We start from the raw sequence: 23,346 nt of genomic DNA on the forward strand, positions 1-23,346 counted from the left end.
TGAGATTTGGGTGGGGCACAGGGTCAAACCACATTAAGTTTATAGGAAAAAAAAACACAGGAGAGAACATGATTTTGAAGTAGGCAAAACTACTTAGAGATAAAGAGTACAGCTGGGTGCAGTGGCTCACACTGGTAATCCTAGCAGTTTGGGAGCAAGGTGGGAAGATCACCTGAGGCCAGGAGTTTGAGACCAGCCTGGCCAACATAGTGAAATTCCATCTCTACCTAAAATATAAAAAATTAGCCAGGCATGGTGGCTTGCACCTGTAGTTCCAGCTACCTGGGAGTCTGAGGCACAAGAATCACTTAAGCCCAGGAGGCAGAGGTTGCAGTCAGCTGCATTACAAACTGATGCATGCCTCCACGGTGCACCAGCCTGCATCACACACTGATATGTGCCTCCACGGTGCACCCGCCTGCATCACACACTGATGTGTGCCTCCATGGTGCACCAGCCTGCATCACACACTGATGTGTGCCTCCATGGTGCACCGCCTGCATTACACACTGATGTGTGCCTCCACGGTGCACCCGCCTGCATTACACACTGATGTGTGCCTCCACAGTGCACCCGCCTGCATTACACACTGATGTGTGCCTCCACAGTGCACCCGCCTGCATTACACACTGATGTGTGCCTCCACGGTGCACCAGCCTGCATCACACAGTGATGTGTGGCTTCATGGTACGCCAGCATGCATCACACACTGATGTGTGCCTCCAAGGTGCACCTGCCTGCATTACACACTGATGTGTGCCTCCACGGTTCACCCGCCTGCATCACACACTGATGTGTGCCTCCACGGTGCACCCGCCTGCATCACGCACTGATGTGTGCCTCCACGGTGCACCGCCTGCATTACACACTGATGTGTGCCTCCACGGTGCACCCGCCTGCATCACGCACTGATATGCGCCTCCACGGTGCACCCACCTGCATCACACTCTGATGTGTGCCTCCACGGTACACCCGCCTGCATCACACACTGATGTGTGCCTCCACGGTGCACCCGCCTGCATTACACACTGATGTGTGCCTCCACGGTGCACCCGCCTGCATTACACACTGATGTGTGCCTCCACGGTACACCCGCCTGCATTACACACTGATGTACACCTCCATGGTGCACCCGCCTCCATCACACACTGATGTGTGCCTCCATGGTGCACTGCCTGCATCACATACTGATCTTGCAGGCCACAGGACACCTTCTGTCTCTTTAGAGAACTTACATATATCTATTTTGATTCATCTGTAGACTTTATGGTTTAATTTACTGAGAACATTTTCTCTTCCAAGTTCCAAAGTTATTAACTGAATAAATGGCATATTTTAAAGGTGAATTTTAAAAATTATACACTTAATACATGCTCATTATTAGAAAAGTAGATTAAAAAATCCATAAATCTGCTCTCTGGTGAAAACCATAAGTAAATAACATTTTAAGTTGCAGAAATTAAACATAGGACTTTCATCCAGCCACTGTCACATTCTAAATTCCCTCTTCTCCTTGTTCTTTTTCTTCTTCTCCTTGCCAAAATGCAAATGACATTCTCTTCATTCGGGCTGTCTTCTATGTACACATTACCTATAAAATCCCCACTCCCTTATTAAATCAAAGGAGTGACTCATTTTATTTCCAGGAGTAAAAGCAGATTCATCCAGGCTTTAACTTCTCAGTCACCCTACCCAACCCCCAGTGTGCCTCCTGAGAGAAAACTAAATTTTTCAGCTGGCAATTAAATTACTTTTAAATAAACAGTTAATTTTTCATTTGAACAAGTTACTCTCGGCCTTATGTATACAGACTCAGTTCTGGCTGTCGTCATCTCCACTATCACTTCCTTGCTCAGTGAAATAATGATCCTCAACTTCCGATTGGCACCACAGAGAATTTGTTTTACATGAGGGTTTGCAACACAGTGTCACCTAGACACTTCCTTTCACTTCTCCAAGTTTGATTTTCCTCACTTGTAACACAGAGAACACCTTCATTTTCTGTTAAGCAGGACTGACCCTAAGAATTTTCCTTAGCGTTATAAGAAAATGGATTTTCCCTAGAATGTTTGAGCAATGAATATAGTACAGACTTTAAAAAGCAAGAAATGTCTTCCATTTACACACTTAGAGAGGAGTACCCAGGAAAGATTTGGCAGAAGGAGTGGGGCGAGGCATTTCTGCAAGAGGGAGCCCACCTCCCCCACAAACGCTGCCATGCCCCTCCATTGGCAGAGACACACATTGGTCTGTGGGAAGGTGCCATTTCTTGGAAGAAATTCATGATCAAATTAAATAGTTTCTTAAGTCTGGGATTCATGGACATAAATGAACAATATGTGGGTAGTGGTAGACTTTAAACACTAGAAAAATGAAGCTGCTTTGCCCCATGTCTGCCCATCCTAGTGACAAGAAGGGGAGTGAGGCCAGGGCCTCCTCCTCCCACCAGGCTCTTCCTTGGGCAGAGGAAGCACAATTTTGACTCAGACAAATAAACCCCCTCGGGACAATCAGTCACTGTTTTCTTCATAGCCCTGTTCTAAGAGAACATCAAGTGAGCCCTTCAGAAATGTCCTATTTTAACACTTCCCAGTGGGTTCCCTTTGGTCAGAGCCCCTCAAGCCGGTCTCATCCTCTGCGACGGCCTATGTATAGTGCTGGTCAGCAGTAACTGAGGGTCAGCATTAGCAGGACTCACAGCAGCGATGGGAACACCCAACATGGACGCTTTCAGGTTCCTTCTACAGGAAAATGCAGGCACCGTTTTAGAGAGATTTGTAACAAATAGAGCATAACAAAAGGAGTTTCTGCCTATTTGAAGTGGAATTTTTTATTCTCTAATTATTTCATTTAATGGAGGATTTTAAAATAAAGCGTGTTGGCCAGGCGTGGTGGCTCATGTCTGTAATCCCAGCACTTTGGGAGGCCGGGGCGGGCAGATTGCTTGAGCTCAGGAGTTCAAGACCAGCCTGGCCAACACGGCAAAACCGCTTCTCTACAAAAAATAAAAAATTAACCATGCATGGTGGCACTTGCCCATAATCCCAGCTGCTTGAGGGGCTGAGGTGAGAGGATTGCTTGAGCCCAGGAGGCTGAGGCTGCAGTGAGCTTACATCAGGCCCCTGCACCCCAGCCTGGGCTACAGTGAGACCCTGAAAAAAAACGCAGGATAAAATAAAGGAAAATAAAATAAAACATGTTTCACCATAAAACAATATTCATCAATATCCACTTGGAAGAGAAGAGAAATGTAGGGAAAAATACCCTTAGTCTCAAAAGCAAGCCCTTTAAACAGTGGGTGCTTACTTTCCATCTCCTCTATTCCATATGGGTTTAAGAGCTGCAGGCGCAGCCTTTGTGAACACCTGCCTTCTTGACTCTCATGACAGCATGCCCGTGTCTGCATGCTCTTTCTAACGACAGGACAGTTGGACAGCACGTGGGGCAGAGCCTACTTTTCCTTAAGAGGGGGGTTGCTTTTGTTTTTGCTGTACATGAGATGGCCGTGAGCGCTGAGGGCCAGCCCTTATGTAGCAGCCTGGTAGCCTTTGTCTCCCACCTCTCTCCCAGCAGAGCCCAGCTAGCCCCACAGGCAGATTCCTCCGGGCCTCAGCCTTTCCTTCCAGCCTGGGTGGAGAGATGACCAGCTGAAGTGTGTAGCTCCCCACGCCGAAGGACAGCCTTGCCACTGGCCCAGGTGCTGGGCGGGCTTCTGTGCCTGTCCGGTCCTCAGCAGCCTGCCTTTCTCCCAGCCCCAGTGCCTGGCTTGTCCCCCGAGCAATGAACTCTCATCGTGTCCCCAGAGGCTGTCCCCTGGCTGGGTTTTCTGCCTCTGCCCTTGGTGCTGAGCCCCCAGGCTCTGTTGCGTCGCAGAGATTAGAGCTCTGTTCCATGCCTGTTGTGGGTTTACTGTGTCCTCTCCCAAAGGACAATCAATGTCTATAACTCTGTATCTGTGAATGTGACCTTATTTGGAAATAAGGTCGTCACAGGTGTCATTAGGGTGAGATCATAATTCAGTAAGGTGAGCCCTAATCTAACACACTGGCCACGCTCATAAGAAGGGGCTCCCTCGGAGACAGGCACTCACAGAGGGAGACAGTGGGGACACGGAGACAAGGCCATGGAGGGTGGAGGTGGAGGCTGGAGGGAGGCACCTACCAGTCCAGGTGCCGAGGCCGCCAGCAACACCAGCTCTGGGAGAGGCAGAGGGACCCTCCTTGGACCCCCAGCAGGAGCCCAGTGTTGTCTGCACCTGGACCGAGGACTGCTGCCTCCAGCTTGAGAGAATAACTGTCCACTGCTTCAAGCCCCCAGCTTGTGGCCCTTTGTGCAGACCGCCCCTCCCCTGGAGACCCTGGCAGTGCCCTAGGGTCAGGTCACTGTCAGCAGAGATCCCCCATCGACATTCAGCTGCATCGGGCTCACAGCCCACCTCTCACTCACTAGGCCAATAGGCACCTGCGGCTGGCTTCACTAAGCCCCTCTGGGGCTCAAGCTTCTCCCTTTCCCACAGGGACATGGCCACTTACTCCGCGGGAGACAGGAGCACAGGAGGCGCTGTGCCTGCCAGGACCGCAGCTCCTTTTCCTCCTTCCCACACCACAGTTTCTCTGACAGGAGACCACCCCTCCCACACACCAGCTCCCATGGCCTCTGGAGCTCCTGCGATGGGGCCGCCCGTGGGCTCCCAGGGCACCACTCACTGGGATGCTGATTTGGGGCTTGGCTGGGCTCTTTCCACAGTCCCTGAGATCGCCAGACCCAGGCAGACCTGTGGCCTCTGTTCCTGCTCTGTGCACTGAGCCCCCACTTCCCCAGGTGGTCCTGGAGGACATCTCCCTCCCAGTGAAGCTGTGGACCCGCCCAGGAAAGGAACGTGCCCCAGGCAGTGGGGCAGAGGGTCCAGGTGTTCACACCCAGGGATCAGCTCATGTTAGGGGTAGGACCACGTAGCAGTGGGGACAGGGGGATCAGAGGTGCTGCCTGTTACCCTTCTCCTCCCAAAGGAACATGCCCAGGCTCTGGGAAGTGGGTACCTCCCCAAGGCTGCCCCACCTCCCTTGGGGCAGAGCCCACATCTAGACCGGTCCTCAGTGCTTTGGTCCAGGAACATGGAAAGAGGCAAGAAGAAGCAAGGCCAGTCCACTGAGGTGGGCTAGGCAGGTAAGAGGTCACTGGCCTGGGGACACACCTGTACCAGACCAGACAGGGACAGGGTTGGGGGGCTGCCTGCAGCCGGGTGTCCCAGGCCTCGGGCGCAGAGTGCACAGGCATTTTGGTGATGATGACCTGAATCTGAGTGAACGGTTTTATTTTGGGGAAGCGTTTCTTCTTCTTGCTGGGGAAGGATTAATGTCGCGGTGGGTGAGAGGTAACCGCAGAGTGAGAGCAGAGGGCCCAGGGCAGCCGCCATACCCGGAGCCTGAGTATCGGGGCTTCCCAGGACCTGGCTGAGTGACAGCCAGCAGAGCCCCTGCCGTCCAATCACAGGGCGGGGGTGGCACCTGGCGGTGCCTGGGGGCGTCCCTGGGGACCCTCGCCTCAGGCGGCACGCTGACTTCTTGGGGTGCTCGCCGGTATGGATCCTACAGCGGATGATCCAAGGTCCCCCGTGTGCGTGAAGTCCCGGGGCCATCCTGACTGAGACATGATGAAAGGAAAATGAGTGTGTTGTCGTTTTCCAAAAACACCTTATGTCGAGATGCTATCACCAAAAAGAACATTTCTCACGCTAAGCACCGGAAGCCAGGCGCTCTGCCGAAGGCATCGGCAGCTGCCCTGCACTCTGCACGGTATGGGTGGGGTGAGATGCGGGGCTGAGCAGACTCCGGATTCCTGGATGGGTGCAGGGAAGGAAGGGTGGTACCCCCAGCCCAACCCACCCCAGCCCAGCCCAGCTCCTCCCTTCCTGGGAGGCGAAGGGACCCTCCATCCATCCCTTCTCCCCCCTGCACTCCCTCACCCTCCCCTGGCACCGCCCTCCCCACCCCAGCACCTTCCTGAGGCACTCATTCTCCCCAGCACCCAGGGGCTGACCTAGCACCCACTGTCTCCGGGATTTGGGATGGCAGAACGGAAGTCCACGGGTGGGTATTACTGTTCACAGGCCTGTTTAGTCAAGGCAGGGTAGTGGGACTGGAATGAGTAAGGTGAGTTAAATGGATTCCCAGATAGGATGCTGCTTTGAAAATACACATTTCTGAATGCAGGATCACGTACATAGTTTCCATATTCAGCAGGTACTTTCACAATTGCGATGTTGTTGTTTTGGGGGTGGGGAGACTGTTGATTTTTCCTTTTAATTACATAAATAAACCATGCTCCTTGCTGGGAAAAAAATGAAAAAAAAAATACAGGAAAACACCTCTCCTGAATCCATCTTTAGGCAATTACTTTGATTTTTGAAAATACAAATGCTTTGCATGGTGAAAGTTTCCGCTTTGCCCCTAAAGGAAAGCAGCCTGGTGGATGCGGCTTGGTTTCCACAGAAGCTCGGTCTGCACCCTGCCTGTGCACCTGGAGCCAGGGCGAATGCACTTGGATGGAGAGAGGGAAGCTGCAGTTCGAATTAAACAGACCGTATTTGTAAAGTGGTTTGAAGATGAAAAGCCCCGTAGAAGTTATGGTTGTCATTACCACGAATAATGGATGCGCCCAGGCGGCCAAATGGAACATTGATGCCCGGAGTCAAAGCCCCCGCACATCTTTCAGGTGCAATTATCTGTGGCCTGGCCTCGGCGGTGTGCCTCGCGATGGGATCCCTACACCTTGCTGGGGTAAGAAGTTAGGCCTCAAAGATTTCTCAGCACAGAGAGCAGGAGAGTTTCTCAGGAGGCAGGGCTCGGGGTCGGCCTCCCTGTTTCTTGTCCCCCGTTGTGTTGTCGCCTCCAGACAGGAACCCCGGCCACAGCAGCCCCTGGGCCCCCCAGACACAGGGCACGCTCCTCCTGCAGGAGGCCTGCCTGGTGGGTCTCAACGTCGTTGCATCCTCCACTGACTCCTTGGGGCACCCACTTTCCGGATAGGCCCTGGGGGAATGAACCTGGGGACAGGGCTGCTTGCTCCTGGTGAGAGTCCCACGGGGAAGCTGGGGAAACAACAGCTGGCTCAGGGCAACCCTACTCCAGAGCACTCCCACTTCCTTTTGGAACTCTCTGCTCTGTTCTGCCCATGTCCGTGGACACCACCCGTCCTGGGCATGCTGTAACCTTGCCGGCAGAGCTGTGGGGATGCTGGGCAGAGCGACTGGACTGAAGCTGTGCGCCTCCTCTGGGAATCTGGATCATTTCAAGCCGGATCCACCAGGCTGCTTTCCTTTAGGAGGAAAGAGGAACTTCCACAATGCAAAGCATTTGTATTTTCAAAAATCAAAGTAATTTTCTAAAGATGGATTCAGGAGAGGTATTTTCTTGTATGGTTTTTTTTTTTCATTTTTTTCCCAGCAAGGAGCATGGTTTGTTTATGTAATTAGAAAAATCAACAGTCTCCCCCCTCCCAAAACAACAACATCACCGATGTGAAGAGTACCTGCTGAGCATGGAAAGCAGGGGCATGAGCCTGCATTCAAACATGCATATTTTCACAGCAGCATCCTATCTGGGATCTGTTTTCATTCACCTTGAGTTAATTCATTCCAATCCCACTACCCTGCCTTGACTACACAGGGTGGTGGGATTGGTCCAGATTCCCACTGGATCAGTTGGCTGAAATAACCAGCCACTTCTTGAGCTCACAGGGACTTGAGGTGGGGTTACAGGCACTGAGAGGTATCTGCAAACTGGGGGTCTCAGCAATGCTGGGACTAGGGAAGGCAGGGGCCAGGGAAGGGGGATCCTTGGGACCAGACAGATTCTGTGTAGTCACTAGTTTATACCATGGCCTCAGGACAGGGCATCCTTTACTTTCTCTAAAACTTGGCCCAGTGAAGGTGCGTTTTTATTGTGCTTTATGCCTGAGGACAGTGAGCGCTGGGTAGGATGGGCCAGGGAAGGATCCTTAAGAAAGTCTGAGAGGCAGTTGTGGCCTCTTCTCGGCTCACACGTTGGGAACTTTGAACACAAGGAGGGCACAAGCCAGAGGTGGAGGTGTCAGGTGGCTTCAGGGATGGCCACTGGTCTCACCGTAATTATTTGAGAAGAATTAATCCCCCCCCCCCAGGAAAGCCTTATCCAAGGGCTCTGCACAGACAGGGTTCTGCAGGTATTAGCTGAACAATGATATTTTGCCCAAAGCCTTCTTTCTGTGAATTGCACACATGTGGATGTTTATATTTTTCTGCTGGAAGGTGGGAGCATGGAAACAGTTAAAATTGTCTGTAGGAAAATCTCATGATTTTCACCCTGATGTTTGGCACTGTCCCTACCACAATCGTAGAGTCGGTTTATCAGATCTTTCAGAGAGCCCAGATCCTTGAGTGAAACAGAACTGCTTGCTGCAGGTAAACATCGAGGGTGAGTAACGACCGCTGCGCCCGTTATCCAGAGCGAGACTTTGTTCATCTGGACTCCAGTGTTTCTCAGCCCTTCATCCGCCCCACCTGGAAGTGAGTGAAGATGAGCCACCTTCCAAACTTCCCAGCCACAGACAGGAATTTGCCTCCTCAAAAGGCTGCTCCAGCCAGAGGAGGTCCCCAGTAAGGAGGAAGGAGGGTGTCTGGGTGGCTATGAAGCAGCAAGCTTCACACCCACCGGGGCCCGTGTGCATCCTGAGGGCAGCCGTGGTCTTCTGTTGAGGCCGATCATTTGTGTGTATGGTTGAAGGCCTCAGTCATGAGACACCTCCAGTTCTTCTCATCTAGGAAGATCGGCTTCGAAGAGCCTCAAAACCCTTCTCAGGAAACAGAATGCCAGTGGCCGGGGAACACTGGACAGTGTGGGCTCTCACCCCCTGCACTTCGGGGGTCCCACGAGGGGCACTCGGAAGGCCTCGCTGCAGTCTCAAGGCCAGCAAGTGTCAAGCAGCAATTGGAACCTGGCCTCCTGCTCCCTGGCTCAAGGCACTGCCGAAGTCCATGTCTCTGGGCTGAAAGCGGAGGAAATAAACACACAAGGAAGGTGTCCCACGGGAAAGTGGGGGCAGCAGAAGCAGGTGCCCCGAGGGTCATGGTTGCTTCCAGAATGGCAGAAGGGGTGACCCAGGCCCCGGCATCGATCAACTCCATCCGTCCTTACACCCACCCTGCATGCGACCCAGGGCGTCACTCGTGTTTTGCAGATGCGGAAGCCGGGGTCAAGAGGGCTCATTAACTGCTTGAGTCACATCCCTTGTACGAGGCAGCATGGAGGCTCAGAATCGGCACCCCTATCCCACTCCTTGGGCAGGGAACTCAGCCAAGAGGTGCCAAGTCGGCTCCAGCCAGAGGGACACACACTGCTCTCTGGCTCCTCCTGAGTTTCGGGGTCCCAAGAACCATGGCAGGCAGGTCCCTGTGAAGACTGCACGCCCTCTCCTACCCTGCACTCTTCTGCACCTTTGGTGGTGGGCAGCATGCAGACTGCAATGAAAACGCTGCAGGTTTAGGCTGGGCATGGTGGCTCATACCTGTAATCCCAGCACTTTGGCTGGCCGAGGCAGGTGGATCACGAGGTCAGGAGTTTGAGACTATCCTGGCCAACATGGTGAAACGCTGTCTCTACTAAAAACACACACACAAAAAAAATTAGCTGAATGTGGTGGCACGTGCCTGTAATCCCAGCTACTCAGGAAGCTAAGGCAAGAGAATCACTTGAACCAGGGAGTCGGAGGTTGCAGTGAGCTGAGATCGTGCCACTGCACTCCAGCCTGGTGACAGAACGAGACTGTCTAAAAAAAAAAAAAAAAACACTGAAGGTTTCTAGTCCAGTGCATCTGTGACAGGCAGCACGGCCCTGTTCGCAGACTCAAAATGCATATTTGTATGGTAAAGCTCTGAAAAATCTTGCAGAAAGAATCCTGCTTAGATTGTGTTTAATGCAGCATCTCTATGGTTCAAGGAAGAGCTATTTGTGGGCCACAGAACCACAAGTGTTAAGGATATCTGGGGGTCCTGGCTGACAACATAGACTTTGGAGTCAGAGCTTTGTGTAAATCTTGCTTCTGCTGTGCAATCTGAACAAGGTATTCAACCCCTCTGGGTCTCAGGTTTCTCATGCACAAAATGCGGATAATAAAATCCATGTTTGGTGTTGCTCAGGATTAAATAATAGGTGTAAGACACTTGGCATGGAGCTTTGCACATAGTAAATACTTAACAAATGCTGTCTGTTATTCTTCATATTCTTTATTATTCATATCAATAGGATTGATAATTAAATGGAAAAGTCCGCATTTGAAAGTCAGGGTCATTTTATTCTCGTTCAGCCTCTATCTGGGATGTTTGGAAGTGGTCTCGGTGACTTTCAAAGACTATTTGGAATTAACAACCCTCTCTCCTTGCCCAGGTACTTGGCTTCAATGTAAGCAATGAAGTCAGAATTAATAAGAAATGGCAGCACTTTCTTCCTCTGAGTATTAACAGTTTTGAGAAAATGGTTGAACTATTCTAGCATTTAATAGTTAGATGGGACACGCTCATTTATATTTCAAGGAAACTCCAAGTCCTCAGTGCATAATTAAGATAATAGCACTGTGAGACCCGAGGTATGATTGAAGAGTCCATGCAAAGGTGCCTGGCTGGGCAGGGCTCTGCTGCCCACGAAGCCTCTGCTCCTCCACTCCCTGGAACAGCCCGTAATTAGCGCCTGATTTATTTCTCCTCGCTCTCATTTCCAGCCTAATAGATTTCACTAGTTATTAGTTTCAGCCATCTTTCCAGCCAGCTGAGGTTGGATGTGTCATTTTGCTTTTGTGTTCATGGTGATGCCTGAAAGTTGAGGTCTTCATGATTGGAGAAGTTTAGAGGAGGAGTCCGTCTTCCCAGCCCTTGCGGACAGTCTGCTGACCAGTACTATGGTGACTGCTGGCCTGTGCTATGGATTAGGATAATGCTAGCAGCTGTTGGAAACAACACAAACCTCCAAATCCCAGTTGCTTGACACCACGGGAACTTACGTATTGCTTGTGTCAGTGCACGATGCAGGTGTCCCTACAGTGGGAAGCTGAGCCACCTGTGGCATTCAGGGATCCCATCTTCTTCCTTCCTATAGCTGTGTGGTGCTGTAGAGCAGGGGACAGCCTCTTCTGAGCCATGCAGCTGGGAGCACTGCACACCGCTATGCTCATTCCCTTTGTTAGTCCCTTCTAGCATGGCCATAAACGATAGCTGAGACTGGGTAACTTATAAGGAAAAGCAGTTTAATTGGCTCTTGGTCCCCAGGCCGTATGCGAAGCAAGGTGTCTTCTGCCTCTGGGGAGGGCCTCAAGGAGCTTCTGATCATGGCAGAAGGCGAAGTGGGAGCAGGCGCCTTACATGGCAGGAGCAGGAGCAGGAGAGAGGCGGGAGGTGCCACACACTTCAAACAGCCAGATCTCAGGAGAACTCACTCACCGTTGGGAGATCAGCACCGAGGGGATGGCACTAAACCACTAGGGAGAAACCGACCCGGGATCCAGTCACTCCCACCAGGCCCCGCCTCCAACACTGGGGTCACAACGCCACATGAGATTGGGGCAGGGACATAGATCCAAACCATGTCACACCCGCCGGCACACGCCCCACAGGGCAGGGGGTCTGGAAAGCCCGGGGCAGCAGCCTCTTCTACAGCAACACGTCCAGTGGTAGGGGCGTGGCTTTGGGTGGGCGCCGCCATGTCCGGTGCTCTCTGCCAGGCAGCCAGCGAGGGCCTTTGTGCTCATGTTCTTCTTGCTTCCCTCCTCTGCCTGCACCTGGGCTGCTCTGGCCTCAAGGACACCCCCCTCCTTGTCTGCCACACTGCCCACGCTCACCTCCATTAGCGCTCCAGGTCCCCAAGCTTCTGATGGGCTCTATGTTATCATATTAACCAGAAGTGAAGAGTTAGGAAGAATCTGCCTTTCTGACCAGCATTGTTTTACTCCCTCTTCAGTGTGAAATGCCTAGAACTGACCTCTGAAGAGAAGCACCAAGGCTGAAGTGTGGGGCAGAGGAGGCAGAGAATAGGACCCTGTCCAGCTGTGGGGAAATGCAGGTGGACTCCCAGGGGTGGTGACAGCATGTGGCCCTGGGGCTGTGGGTGAGGGCGGAGGGACAGGACCCCAGCTATGTCTGACAGTCCACAGCCCTGGCAAGACCAAATGCAGCCACACCTTGCTTCTTCATTCGCAAGCTCGGAGATACTGGGGAATTAGCCCATTCATTCTTCTAAGTATTGGTGACAGAAAAAAGTCAGGTACAGACAGAAATGAAGGAAGGGGGTTTAACCAACAAAACTGTTATGGAGTGAAGACCAAAACGTAAGAGCTAAAAGTATAAAACTGTTAGAGGAAAACAGGGAAAAAGCTTTATGACACTAGGCCTGGCAATAATTTCTTGGATATCACACCAAAAGTGCAGGCAACACAAGAAAAAATAGATAAATTTGAACCCACGGGATGGCAGAAAGTATTTGCAAATCATATATTTGATGAGGGACAAATATCCAAGATATGTAAAGAACTCTGGGACTCAACAACAGCAACAAAAACAAAGAACCGGTTTAAAAATGGGCAAAGAGCTTGAATAGGCATTTCTCAACAACAACAAAAAATACAAACGGCCAATAAACTCAAGAAAAGATGTCAATATCACCAGTCATTGGAGAAACGCAAATCAAAACCACAGTGAGCTGCCACTCACATCTATTAAGATGGCTATGATCGAAACACCAGAGAATAACAAGTGTTGATAAGGTTTGAGGAGAGACTGGAAACTTCATGCATTGCTGGTGAGAATACAAAAGGGAACAGCTGCGGTTCCTCAAACAGTAAACACAGAATTACCATCCAATACAGTAATTCCAACTGGGGGTATAAACCGAGAAGAAGTGAAAGCAGGGTCTGTAACACACCCACGTGCCTAGCAGCATTGTTCACAATAGCCAAGAGGTGGAAACAACCCACGGGTCCACCCACAGAAGAATGGACACACAAAATGTCTCTCACTCACACACACACACACAGAGGAATATTATTCACCCTTAAAAAGGAAGGGGATTCTGACACAGGCTACAACATGGATGAACCTTGAGGACATTACTATAAATGCAATAAGCCAGTCACAAAAGGGCAAATGCTGTGTGAGTCCATGTGTAAGAGGTCCCTAGAGTAGTCAAATGCAGAGAGACAGGTGGAAGAAAGGTAGTTACCACGGACAGCAGGAGGGGAAAGGGGAGTTCTTGCTTAGTGGGTGCAGAGTTTCGGTTTGGGGTGACAGAAAATTTCTGGAGAGGGATGGTGGTGATGAGAGCACGACAGTGTGATGTGCTTAGTGCCACTGTGACGGACATTTAAAAACGGTGGACACAGTTTTATGTTACGTACTGCATATTCTACCACACACAAAACAGAAATAATTGCTTCCTGATTTTAAAGCAACAAATGTTCATTGCATAATCTTTACAAACTGCAGAAAGATGAAAAGGAAAAACAAACAACCATGATCCCAGCACCCAAGAAAATCATCATTAATATTTTGAAATATTATCTTCTGATAGCTGTGTGTTCAGGTATGTGTTAAATATACATATAGCATTTGTTTTGCGTAGTTTAGATTACATGCATCATTGTATTTTGGACTCTTTTTTTTTCTTCATATTTATGTGTCTGATAAAAGGTTTTACGCCAGGTCATTAAAACCACTTTTAATTTAAAAAATATGTAAAATGCCATTTTTCTTACTTAGAAATAAGATGATTTCACTGTAGAAAAGTTAGAAAATTAAAACAATCAAAAAAGAAGAAAAACTTATCCGTGACTAAGAAACACATTTTTAACCTTGCCATCTATCCTGGGTTTATGGCACATTCTAGGAATTTTATTTGTAAATGAGATCATCTCACAATGTTGTTTTGTAATTTAGTTTTATCACTCACATTTTCATGTTATCAAGTGTTCTATGTCACTGTAACGTCCTCCTGGTACTTCATTGCACGTGTGATCATTTATTTATCCTGCTTCCTATTGTGGAGTATTTCCCATGTCTCACTATTGTTAAGATGCTGCAGTGAACGTCCTTGTCAGTGTAACTGTGGCCGTTTCTTTAGGATCTATGGATACATTTCTAGAAAAGGAACTGTTGAGCCATTGTATGTGAATACTTTAAGTATTTTTGTACATATCCTCAGTTGGCCTCCAGAATGTGAACAATTTATACTTCTGGTTGCACTTTCTGGGGGTGCTTGTTTCTCCCCTCCTTCCTAACACTGGGGTTTTATATTTTTAAAATTCTCTGCCTGGGCACAGTGGCTGATGCCTGTAATCCCAGCACTTTGGGAGGCCGAGGGGGGCGGATCACAAGGTCAGGAGTTCAAGACCAGCCTGGCCAACATGGTGAAACCCCGTCTCTACTAAAAATACAAAAAAGTTAGCTGGGTGTGGTGGTGCACGCCTGTAATCCCAGCTACTCGGGAGGCTGAGGCAGGAGAATCACTTGAACCTGGGAGGCGGAGGTTGCAGTGAGCCGAGATCACGCCACTGCACTCCAGCCTGGTGACAGAGAGAGACGCTCTCAAAAAAAAAAAAAAAAAAGAAAAAGAAAAAAAAAAAATCTGCCAACTTGGTAAGTGGACATAGCTCCCTGTGGCTACATAACATTTCATTACATCAGGAAATTACAATCACTTAACTCTTCTGACAGACTCAAACATTTAGGGCAAAATGTAAACAAATAGTGAACATTTCCTGCACGCGGGCTCCACAGTGGCTGCGTCTGAGTCACCTTCGTTTCTCGGGGCACCCCGGTGTCTGTCCTTGGTGTGGGTGAGGACACCCTGTCAGTGCACTGGCTCAGGGGTGAGGCTGGGTGGGGCTCCCAGCTCTGCTGCTCTCTGGCTGGCCTCAGTCTCCTTGTCAGTAAAACAGGGATGACAGCACCGGCTTGTAGCTGTAGGCATCAAGCAACAGTGTGGGCTTGGGGTCGGCCTCACAAAATGCTCTGGGGGCTGGTGGGCCCAGGATGCCCCTGCAGGCATTTTGCTGTGATTGGGAGTTCAGATACTAAGTCCTGTAGGGTGCAGAGGGGTTGAGTGGGCTGCTGTGGGCGAGGAAGCCTTCAGCAGGAGGCGGCTGTCACGTAGACCTGGGACTGGGCAGCCGAATGCCCCCACTTGGTTTTGGGTCTTTTACCTCCAGACGTTCCTGTTTCCCTCTGTCTCCTATCCCGTCGATATGCATTTAAAATAGGTTTCTTGGCTGGGCACGGGGGCTCACGCCTGTAATCTCAGCACTTTGGAAGGCCAAGGCTGGTGGAGCCCTTGAGGTCAGGAGTTTGAGACCAGCCTGACCAACATGGTGAAACCCCATTTCTACTAAAAATATAAAATTAGCTAGCTAGATGTGGTGGTGCACGCCTGTAATCCCAGCTACTTGAGAGGCTGAGGCAGGAGAATCACGTGAACCTGGGAGGCAGAGGTTGCAGTGAGATGAGATCACACCACTGCACTCCAGCCTGGGCAACAACAGCAAAACTCTGTCTCAAAAATAAATAAATAAATAACAGGTTTCTCCCCAGGGTTCTCCTGATGGCCAATCCCTCACACCCTTCCCTTCATGCCCTTCCATGCTTGCAGGCCAGGCCTGGCTGGAGGCCACCTGGCACCCCCCTTTCCATAAAGAAGTGTGTGCCAGCTGTACCTCCCACAGAGGCAGAGGCATTTCCGGCTCCTTCACCTATTGAAGAAGAGAACGTTGCATCATAGAGGAAGTGCTTTGAACAGGAGCCTCTGAAATTTTGTTTTAATAAGAAAAAGAAATCACGTGGCCTGGACACAGTGTGAACTGGCTCAGGCAGGGATACCGAGGGGACTGGAGACCCCTCTCCCCCATGGATGGTGGGGGTGTGGAGGGGGTACCTGGAAGCAGCCTGTGAGGTGGGACAAAAGAAGGTGGCTCGGGGGAAAGCAGTGCCTGAATCCCACTGGAGGATGGGAGAAAGCCGGGTTGAGAAACTAGGCTTCCAACTCCAGTGCCGCCAGCTTGGCTCCATGCCGAATCCATGGCTTGCAGAGGGGAGGAAACAGCTCCTTAAAGGCAACAACATCCTTCACTCTGTAAGACCTTACATGACGTCAGAATTGTGCTGCCGACAAGATCTGCATGGGTGCTCCCTGGAGCCCTCCCCTCACCCACCCTGGGCTCACCCTCAAGCCCATCCGCAGTGAACCTGGGCTCCGCAAATGCCGCTGGAGAGGGAGCTGGGACTCTGCAGCGGCATGCAGGCGAGCAGGTGGGTGAGCACCTCATGTGTGACAGCCGCAGGCCCCTCGCTTCTGAAGGTTTGCAGGGGTCACATTGGAGGGGGCCCTGGCATGTACCCGAGAACCATGGGCCCAGGTGATACTGGACAAGGAATTGCACCACAAGCCACACCTGGCACGGTGCTAGTCCTTGAAAAACAAACACAAAAACCCAACTTACCGAGGATGTTCAGGAGGTACTATGGCATTTGCCCAATGTCCTGGAGGCTGAGAGCTAGAGAGGTCCAGAGGCCAGGATAGCGGCCTCGGGAAAGGTCTGAATACATGAATGGATAAATGAATGAATGAATGAATGAATGAATGAATGAAGCAAGCAAGGAGGGAGAAGGTCTCACCAAGTCTTTTCACCCCCTCCCTAGGATGACGTCTCTTTGGGAGTCTTTTTGGGGGCCACTCTGCCCCTGAACCCCCAGGAAAATCTCTCACCTTTGAGGGGGCCCATGGCAATCCAGGGAGCCCTGTGTTGCCTGGGAACCCCCTCTTCTCAGGGCTGCTGCCCCCCCATCCTGGTCTGGAGTTTCCCCATTAGCACTCCAGTGCCTCTGGGTTCACATGGATGGGAAATCCCAGAGTGCCAGGCTCTTTGAAGTGGGAGCCCCACCAGGCCTGCAGGGCTCTCTATCTCAGCTTCAAAGGCTGCAGAGAGAAAGATGCAGCCACTTGGGACAGTGGGGATGCAGGCTGGTGGGGGGTGGAGAAAGGGGCTGGGGAGGAGAGAGCTCCTAATGCCTTCTTCAAGTCCTGAAGCAAGGGAGCCACAGAGGACTGTGTTCTCACTTATCACCCAAGCCCTGGAGAACCTCTGCTGTCCCATCCATTCACTCATCTGCCCATCACTCTACCCACTCATCCACCACCCATCCATCCATCCATTCATCCATCCATCCCTCCATCCATCCATCCATTTATCTGTCCATTCCTCCATCTACCCATCCATCCCTCCATCCCTCTATCCAACCATCCATCCACCCATCTATCCCTCCATTCACATATCCATCCTTCCATCCACCCATCTATCCCTCCATCCACCCATCCACTTACCCATCTATCCCTCCATCCACCCATCCATTCCTCCATCTACCGATTCATCTCTCCATCCACCCCTTCATCCACCCATCCATCCACCCATCTATCCCTCCATCTACCCATACATTACTCCATCCACCCTTTCATCTCCCCATCCATCCCTCCATCCCTCCATTTGCCCATCTATCCCTCTAACAACCCATCCACCTACCTACTCATCCATCCACCCATCCATCCACCGACCCATGCACCCACCTGTCCATCCACAGGTGTTTGTCGAACACCTCTGGTGAGACAGGCACTGAAGAGAAGGACTCTGGCCAAACTGTACATCCCACTGCCCCCTCCAGCCTCACAACCCCAGTGTACCACCTTGGTCATACTGTCACCTGCCCAGTAAAGCTGTCCAGCCCATCTCCCTGTCCTGGGTCATGGCACGGCTCAGGACTAATGCCTGACAGGGGGCCATGCTTAGCGGGTGTTTGCCTCCAGCAGGTCAAGTGCTTGATCTCAGCTTCAGTTTTCTCCCTGGGAAGCATGAATGATGCCTGCCCTTCAGGATGGCTGGTGCAGGCAGGGAGGCTGAGCCTCTGCCCCATTCTTACAGAGCCCACATCCAGACATCAACCACGTGGGTATCCAGCCTTGAGATCCACCTTTCTGCTCATCCCTTTCTCTTCTCTTGGTGTCAGAACTGTTTCTCACATCAGTGGGGAGACCTCTGTTGAGCACACAGGCTCGGGCCCATTAGTTCGTGGGCATCTTGCTGGCCTTCCTCCGACACAAGGAGATCCAGCATCTTCCTTTTGTGTCCTCTACAGCACTGCTTTTAAAACTGTGGGTTGCAAACCATTGGTGGGTTTTTAAATCAACTTAGTAGATCATGACCAGCACTTACGTGAAAAATGAAATAGAATAATATGAAATAGAAAATACCAGAAGACATCTCATGGATAGGGGCAAATACTCGTGGATGGGGTGGACACTCATGGATGGGGTAGACATCATGGATGGGGTGGACACTCACAGATAGGGGTAGACACTCATGGATAGGGGTGGACACTCATGGATAGGGGTGGACACTCATGGATGGGGTGGACACTCACAGATAGGGGTAGACACTCATGGATAGGGGTGGACACTCATGGATAGGGGTGGACACTCATGGATGGGGTGGACAGTCATGGATTGGGTGGACACTCATGGATGGGGTGGACATCCATGAATAGGGGTGGACACTCATGGATAGAAGTGGACCCTCACGTATAGGAGTAGACACTCACAGATGGGGTGCACACTCACAGATGGGGTGCACACTCACAGATGGGGTGGACCCTCATGGATATAAGTGGACACTCATGGATAAGGTAGATGTCATGCGTAGGGGTTGACACTTATGGATGGTGCGGACACTCATGGATGGGGTAGACATCACGGATAGGGGTAGACATCATGGATGGGGTGGACACTCATGGATAGGGGTAGACATCATGGATAGGGGTAGACATCATGGATGGGGTAGACATCATGGATGGGGTGGACACTCATGGATGGAGTGGACACTCATGGATGGGGTGGACACTTATGGATGGGGTGGACACTCATGGATGGGGTGGACACTTATGGATGGGGTGGACACTCATGGATGGGGTAGACATTCATGGACAGGGGTAGAAATCATGTACAGGGATAGACACTCATGGAGTAGGGGTAGGAGTTGATAGAACTCTTGTTTACTTGTGTGCACATCTGCTGAGGGCTGTAAAATGAGTTCTTATGGCCTGATGTAGTCATAAGACTTGGATAAACACTCCCCCTTAACAGCAAAGCCTGTCACTTGTCACTTGTTGAGAAAATGTTTGTGAACACTGATATATAAAGATAGTTAAAGATGAACTATCCTTAACATATGTCTCAATAATTAGACAGCTCATAGAGATTTGGAGCCTAGCTTCCTGCATAGATGGTGTGTTTTCATCCATCCATCCATCCATCCATCCATCCATCCATCCATCCACTCACCCACTCACCCATTCATCCATCCATCCATCTGTCCACCCACTCATCCATCTACTCCACACCTTTTGTGAACATGCTGGTGGGAAGGCAATGGGTTGTTTACCTTCACTGTTTCAAAGGAAGAAAAGGAAAAATAATCCTTTCCTGCAAGTTCTGTGACCAAGACCCCAAAAGCACCATCTCCAACTCACACAGCAGTATTTTTGGTAGCAGGCATAAGTTATGTTCTCTTACTTTTTTTTTTTTCCTTCCTGAGATGGAGTCTCACTCCATCACCCAGGCTGGAGTGCAATGGTGGATCTCGGCTCACTGCAACCTCTGCCTCCCGGGTTCAAACGATTCTCCTGCCTCAGCCTCCTGAGTAGCTGGGACTACAGGTGTGTGCCACCATGCCCAGCTAATTTTTGTATTTTTAGTAGAAACGTGGTTTCACCACATTGGCCAGGCTGGTCTCAAACTCTTGACCTCGTGATCCACCCGCCTCGGCCTCCCAAAGTGCTGGAATTACAGGCGTGAGCCACCGTGCCTGGCCCATGTTCTCTTACTTTTAAGAACAAATCCTGATGTCCTTTTGTTCTCTATCTTAGCTCGGTTTTGGAGATGTGGCTTAAGGTATTCTATCTTCAAGGCTTCCTTCTGGATTACTCCAATTCATGATACATTTTTTTCTTTTCTCTTAATCCTTCAGTTAAGAGGAAATAGCAGAGACCCTTTTCTAATTTTTTTTATTTAAAATGGAGAAAGTCTTGGGATTATTTATTTATCAATGCCCTGATCTTAGGTCCAAAATAAGTTTAATATCTGACAACATAAGGTTTTTTGATTTTGAGCATTTTGTATCTATGTCTGCATGATGAAGTTTGAGCAGTGTGTGTTTTAACGGACATTGCGTGTTTCCCAGTTATATATTTGCTAGGCTAATGTGGGTACGCAACTTAGGAAAGATGAAAGAAATTTACTTAAAATCTGGCTCTTGACACATTATTCAGTGAAAATGTTCCCTTGAGCTGGAGTGTGGAGTAAGGGGCACCACTGGAAATGCCATCTCTATGCCGTCTTACAGGAAATAACTCAAGGATGGTGACCTGTGGCAGAGGTGAGGGCCCACCCCCACCTGTGTCAACATGGCCTTTCTGGCCAGTTGTAGTGGCTGTGCCCCAGCTCCTGCCTCCAGGATTAGTGGTCCCCCCTCTTTCCAGTCTAGAAGTCCACGCGCTCAACCTTCTTTCGGCAGCCCAAAGGTCAAAGCATCCAGGTCGTGCCCCAGGCCCCCTTCCCTCCTACCCTCACTTCACAGAGCCAGAGATACCCTTTGCACCCATGCCTCCTTCAGACATTGCTGCTGCTTCCCCAGTGAGTGGTCTGCTTGGACCACAGGGATGGCCAGAGGCAGCCGTGGAGCTGCTCCTCAGCTGCATTCACCTGTGTGGAGCCAGGCAGAACAGGGCTCCCTGCTTCCTACTTCTCCTTTCCTGACACAGCCATTAGTCATTGCATCCTGGACGTAGCAGAGAGAGAAGTTTGCCCTAAGACTAGAAGCAAGGATTCCCATGTGCTGGCCAAGGGTGAGTGGCGACTCTCAGTGGCAGCAGTTTCTAGCTCCTCTAAAAGCCGCTGTTTTCTGGAAACACTTGAGATGTTGATTCTAATGTCCATGCTGCTCGCAGCCTGGTCTCTGAATATCCCCTCCTCCTGCGGGAATGCCACACTGGCCCCTTTAGCTTTGTAGGAGCGCACTGCAAGACCTCTTCAGTTCTTCCTGCCTGTCAAAATTTTACTTTAAATGAATCCACAGAGGTGCTTGCCCCAACCCCACCGTAAAATCTGCCTTAATTAAGAGTCAGGGTAACCCGCATCCATTCGCCACACCAGCCCAGTCTCTGACATCAAGGTTATTATTTTTCCTCCTGCCTGAAAACTTCCTTGTCAATTATAAGAAAATATTAATTAAGTCAGGCATCTCCCCTCACGGGTGTCTCTAATTACTTACACAGAAGACATCCCTTAAAGTTGGGCAAATGGACATCCCTTCCGGAGTGCGCTGCAAACGTGTCTTACTAATGGCTTCCCGGGTCTGAGGCCCTTAGGGTCCCCAGATCGCTTGGTACAGTGCGGGTGAGTGGGGCTCAGTCTACTAACCTAACTTTATAGGAAACGTGGCAGAGTGTTACTGCCTATGGCTCACCTTGATTTTGGATTGAAGTCCCCATAAGAGCCAACGTTTCCTTAGAGCTCACTTCGTGCCAGGCTAAGCCATCACAGATAAAGAGGAGACTAATGTTACCACCATCTTACAGGTGGGAAAACTGAGGTACGCATGCTGAAGTGAGTGGGGCAGGGTCACCCAGTTTGTAGGCATCAGAGCCAGGAGCAGAGTCCACACACAGGATGGCATGCTCTTCACCATGTTGCTTTTAGAGACTCTGGGCTGGTAGAGAATTTAACTCTGGCCTTACTGGGTCCAAAGTCTTAGATGGGATGAAGAGGTGTGGGTGTGGGGTGAGGATGCCGGGGTGCAGGTGGCTGTTCCGTCTTGTCAGGCTCAGCAGCTCTGCCATCCTGGGTGGTGTCGGGGTAAAGGCGGCTGTTCCATCTTGTCAGGCTCAGCAGCTCTGCCTTCCTCGGTGGTGCCGGGGCTGGGGGCTCCCTGGGCTTCCCCTGTGCTGAGACTCACACTTACCCGACCTCCTCATCCACCAGGACTTGCTACCTGCCCTCCTCCCCTGGGCTCCGGGACAGCCAAGTGGATCAGTCACTGCAGAGCTGGGGGACCTCTCTAATACAGGGTTCCACTTCCCCAGATTTGGGAAATGGTGAGGAGACTGGGAAAGTGAGGTAATCAAAAATGGAAAATAAGTTAGTATTTCAAAATACTATGCAAAGCATAAATAGAAAAACCCTTGAACCTGCCAGATGAACAGTTTGTGGGTTGATTCTTCAGCATTGGTGCCTTCTTTTCCCTGCAGTGACTCCCCAGTTTTGCCTTGAGAAGGCCTAGGGGGCACCAACCACTTTCCCACCCCCAAGGGAGAACTGCGGATCCCGACGGCGGAGGCTCCATTCACCTGCCCCCGGCCATAGTGATTGGCTCAGGAAGACAGGGCTACAGCAAGGGGCCTTCTGAGAAGAAAGCTCCTCAGCTTCTGTAGGAGAGACCCCCTTTCCTCTCTCTCTGCACAGTGAGGACCGAAAAGGTGGTGGTGGTGCTGCTTTCTGGGGAGAGCTGAGAGCCGCGAGGAGCCTCAGTGTGGAGTCTGAAGAAGACGCCGCATCCCAGAAGGTTCTGGAGCCGAGTATCAGAGTTTGAGCAGTGAGTCCAGCCTAGCAGAAGCGGGTGTTGACCGGAGACTTTTCAATGGTGCAAAATGACACACTGCTTTTGACTTGGGGATCTGTCCCTTGTGGCACCAGAAGCTACAACAGGTCCACCTGGATTCCAGCTCTAGCTGGACTCGGTAATTGCTAAGTGCCAGCTCTGAAGTCTGTGATTCCGTGGAAATCCCTTTCAAGCCCGAATTCTGTTTTTTATGGGCCTCTTGTCCAAACAGTTTGACTTGTGAACTCTGTTTCTGTCAAGTTGACACTTGGGCTTGGCCACCCATTCATGAGCCAGATGAAAGCAGCTAAATGCTGGAAAAATCAAAGGTTTCTACCTCTCTGTGAAACCATTGTGAAGCATATAAAAAAATTAGGAAAGTCAAAACCCAACCAGAGCAAACCCAACTAAACATATGTGTCTGCAAAACCAAGGTGTGGCCTACTTTTTCACTGGAAAATACAAACAATTTTAATGGACTCTTGAGATGATGATGAACCAGATTTTGTGTTGCGTCGCGTCCAGTTCTCTATGTCTGATTCTTTGCTTTGCCTTATTTCTTCCACAAGCATCAATTTCTGTTTTATACGTGTGTGGCTAACACCCTAATGTATTCCTGGTATTAAAAATGGGAAC

At 50.5% G+C, this 23,346-nt stretch overlaps 2 annotated features.

Moving 5' to 3' along the window:
* Nucleotides 3–162: an enhancer, noted in NCBI's record as "active region_26906". NCBI's record gives its function as "activates an Ori minimal core promoter by ATAC-STARR-seq in GM12878 lymphoblastoid cells {active_cell/tissue: GM12878}" and the evidence as "EXISTENCE:reporter gene assay evidence [ECO:0000049][PMID:35858748]".
* Nucleotides 18,088–20,327: a silencer, noted in NCBI's record as "fragment used in the pLS_Prom_SHH_2026 reporter constructs". NCBI's record gives its function as "represses a minimal SHH promoter by reporter assays in Caco-2 colon adenocarcinoma cells {active_cell/tissue: Caco-2}" and the evidence as "EXISTENCE:reporter gene assay evidence [ECO:0000049][PMID:25782671]".

This window comes from Homo sapiens, chromosome 7, assembly GCF_000001405.40.
Source record: "Homo sapiens chromosome 7, GRCh38.p14 Primary Assembly".
NCBI classification, from domain to species: Eukaryota; Metazoa; Chordata; class Mammalia; order Primates; family Hominidae; genus Homo; species Homo sapiens.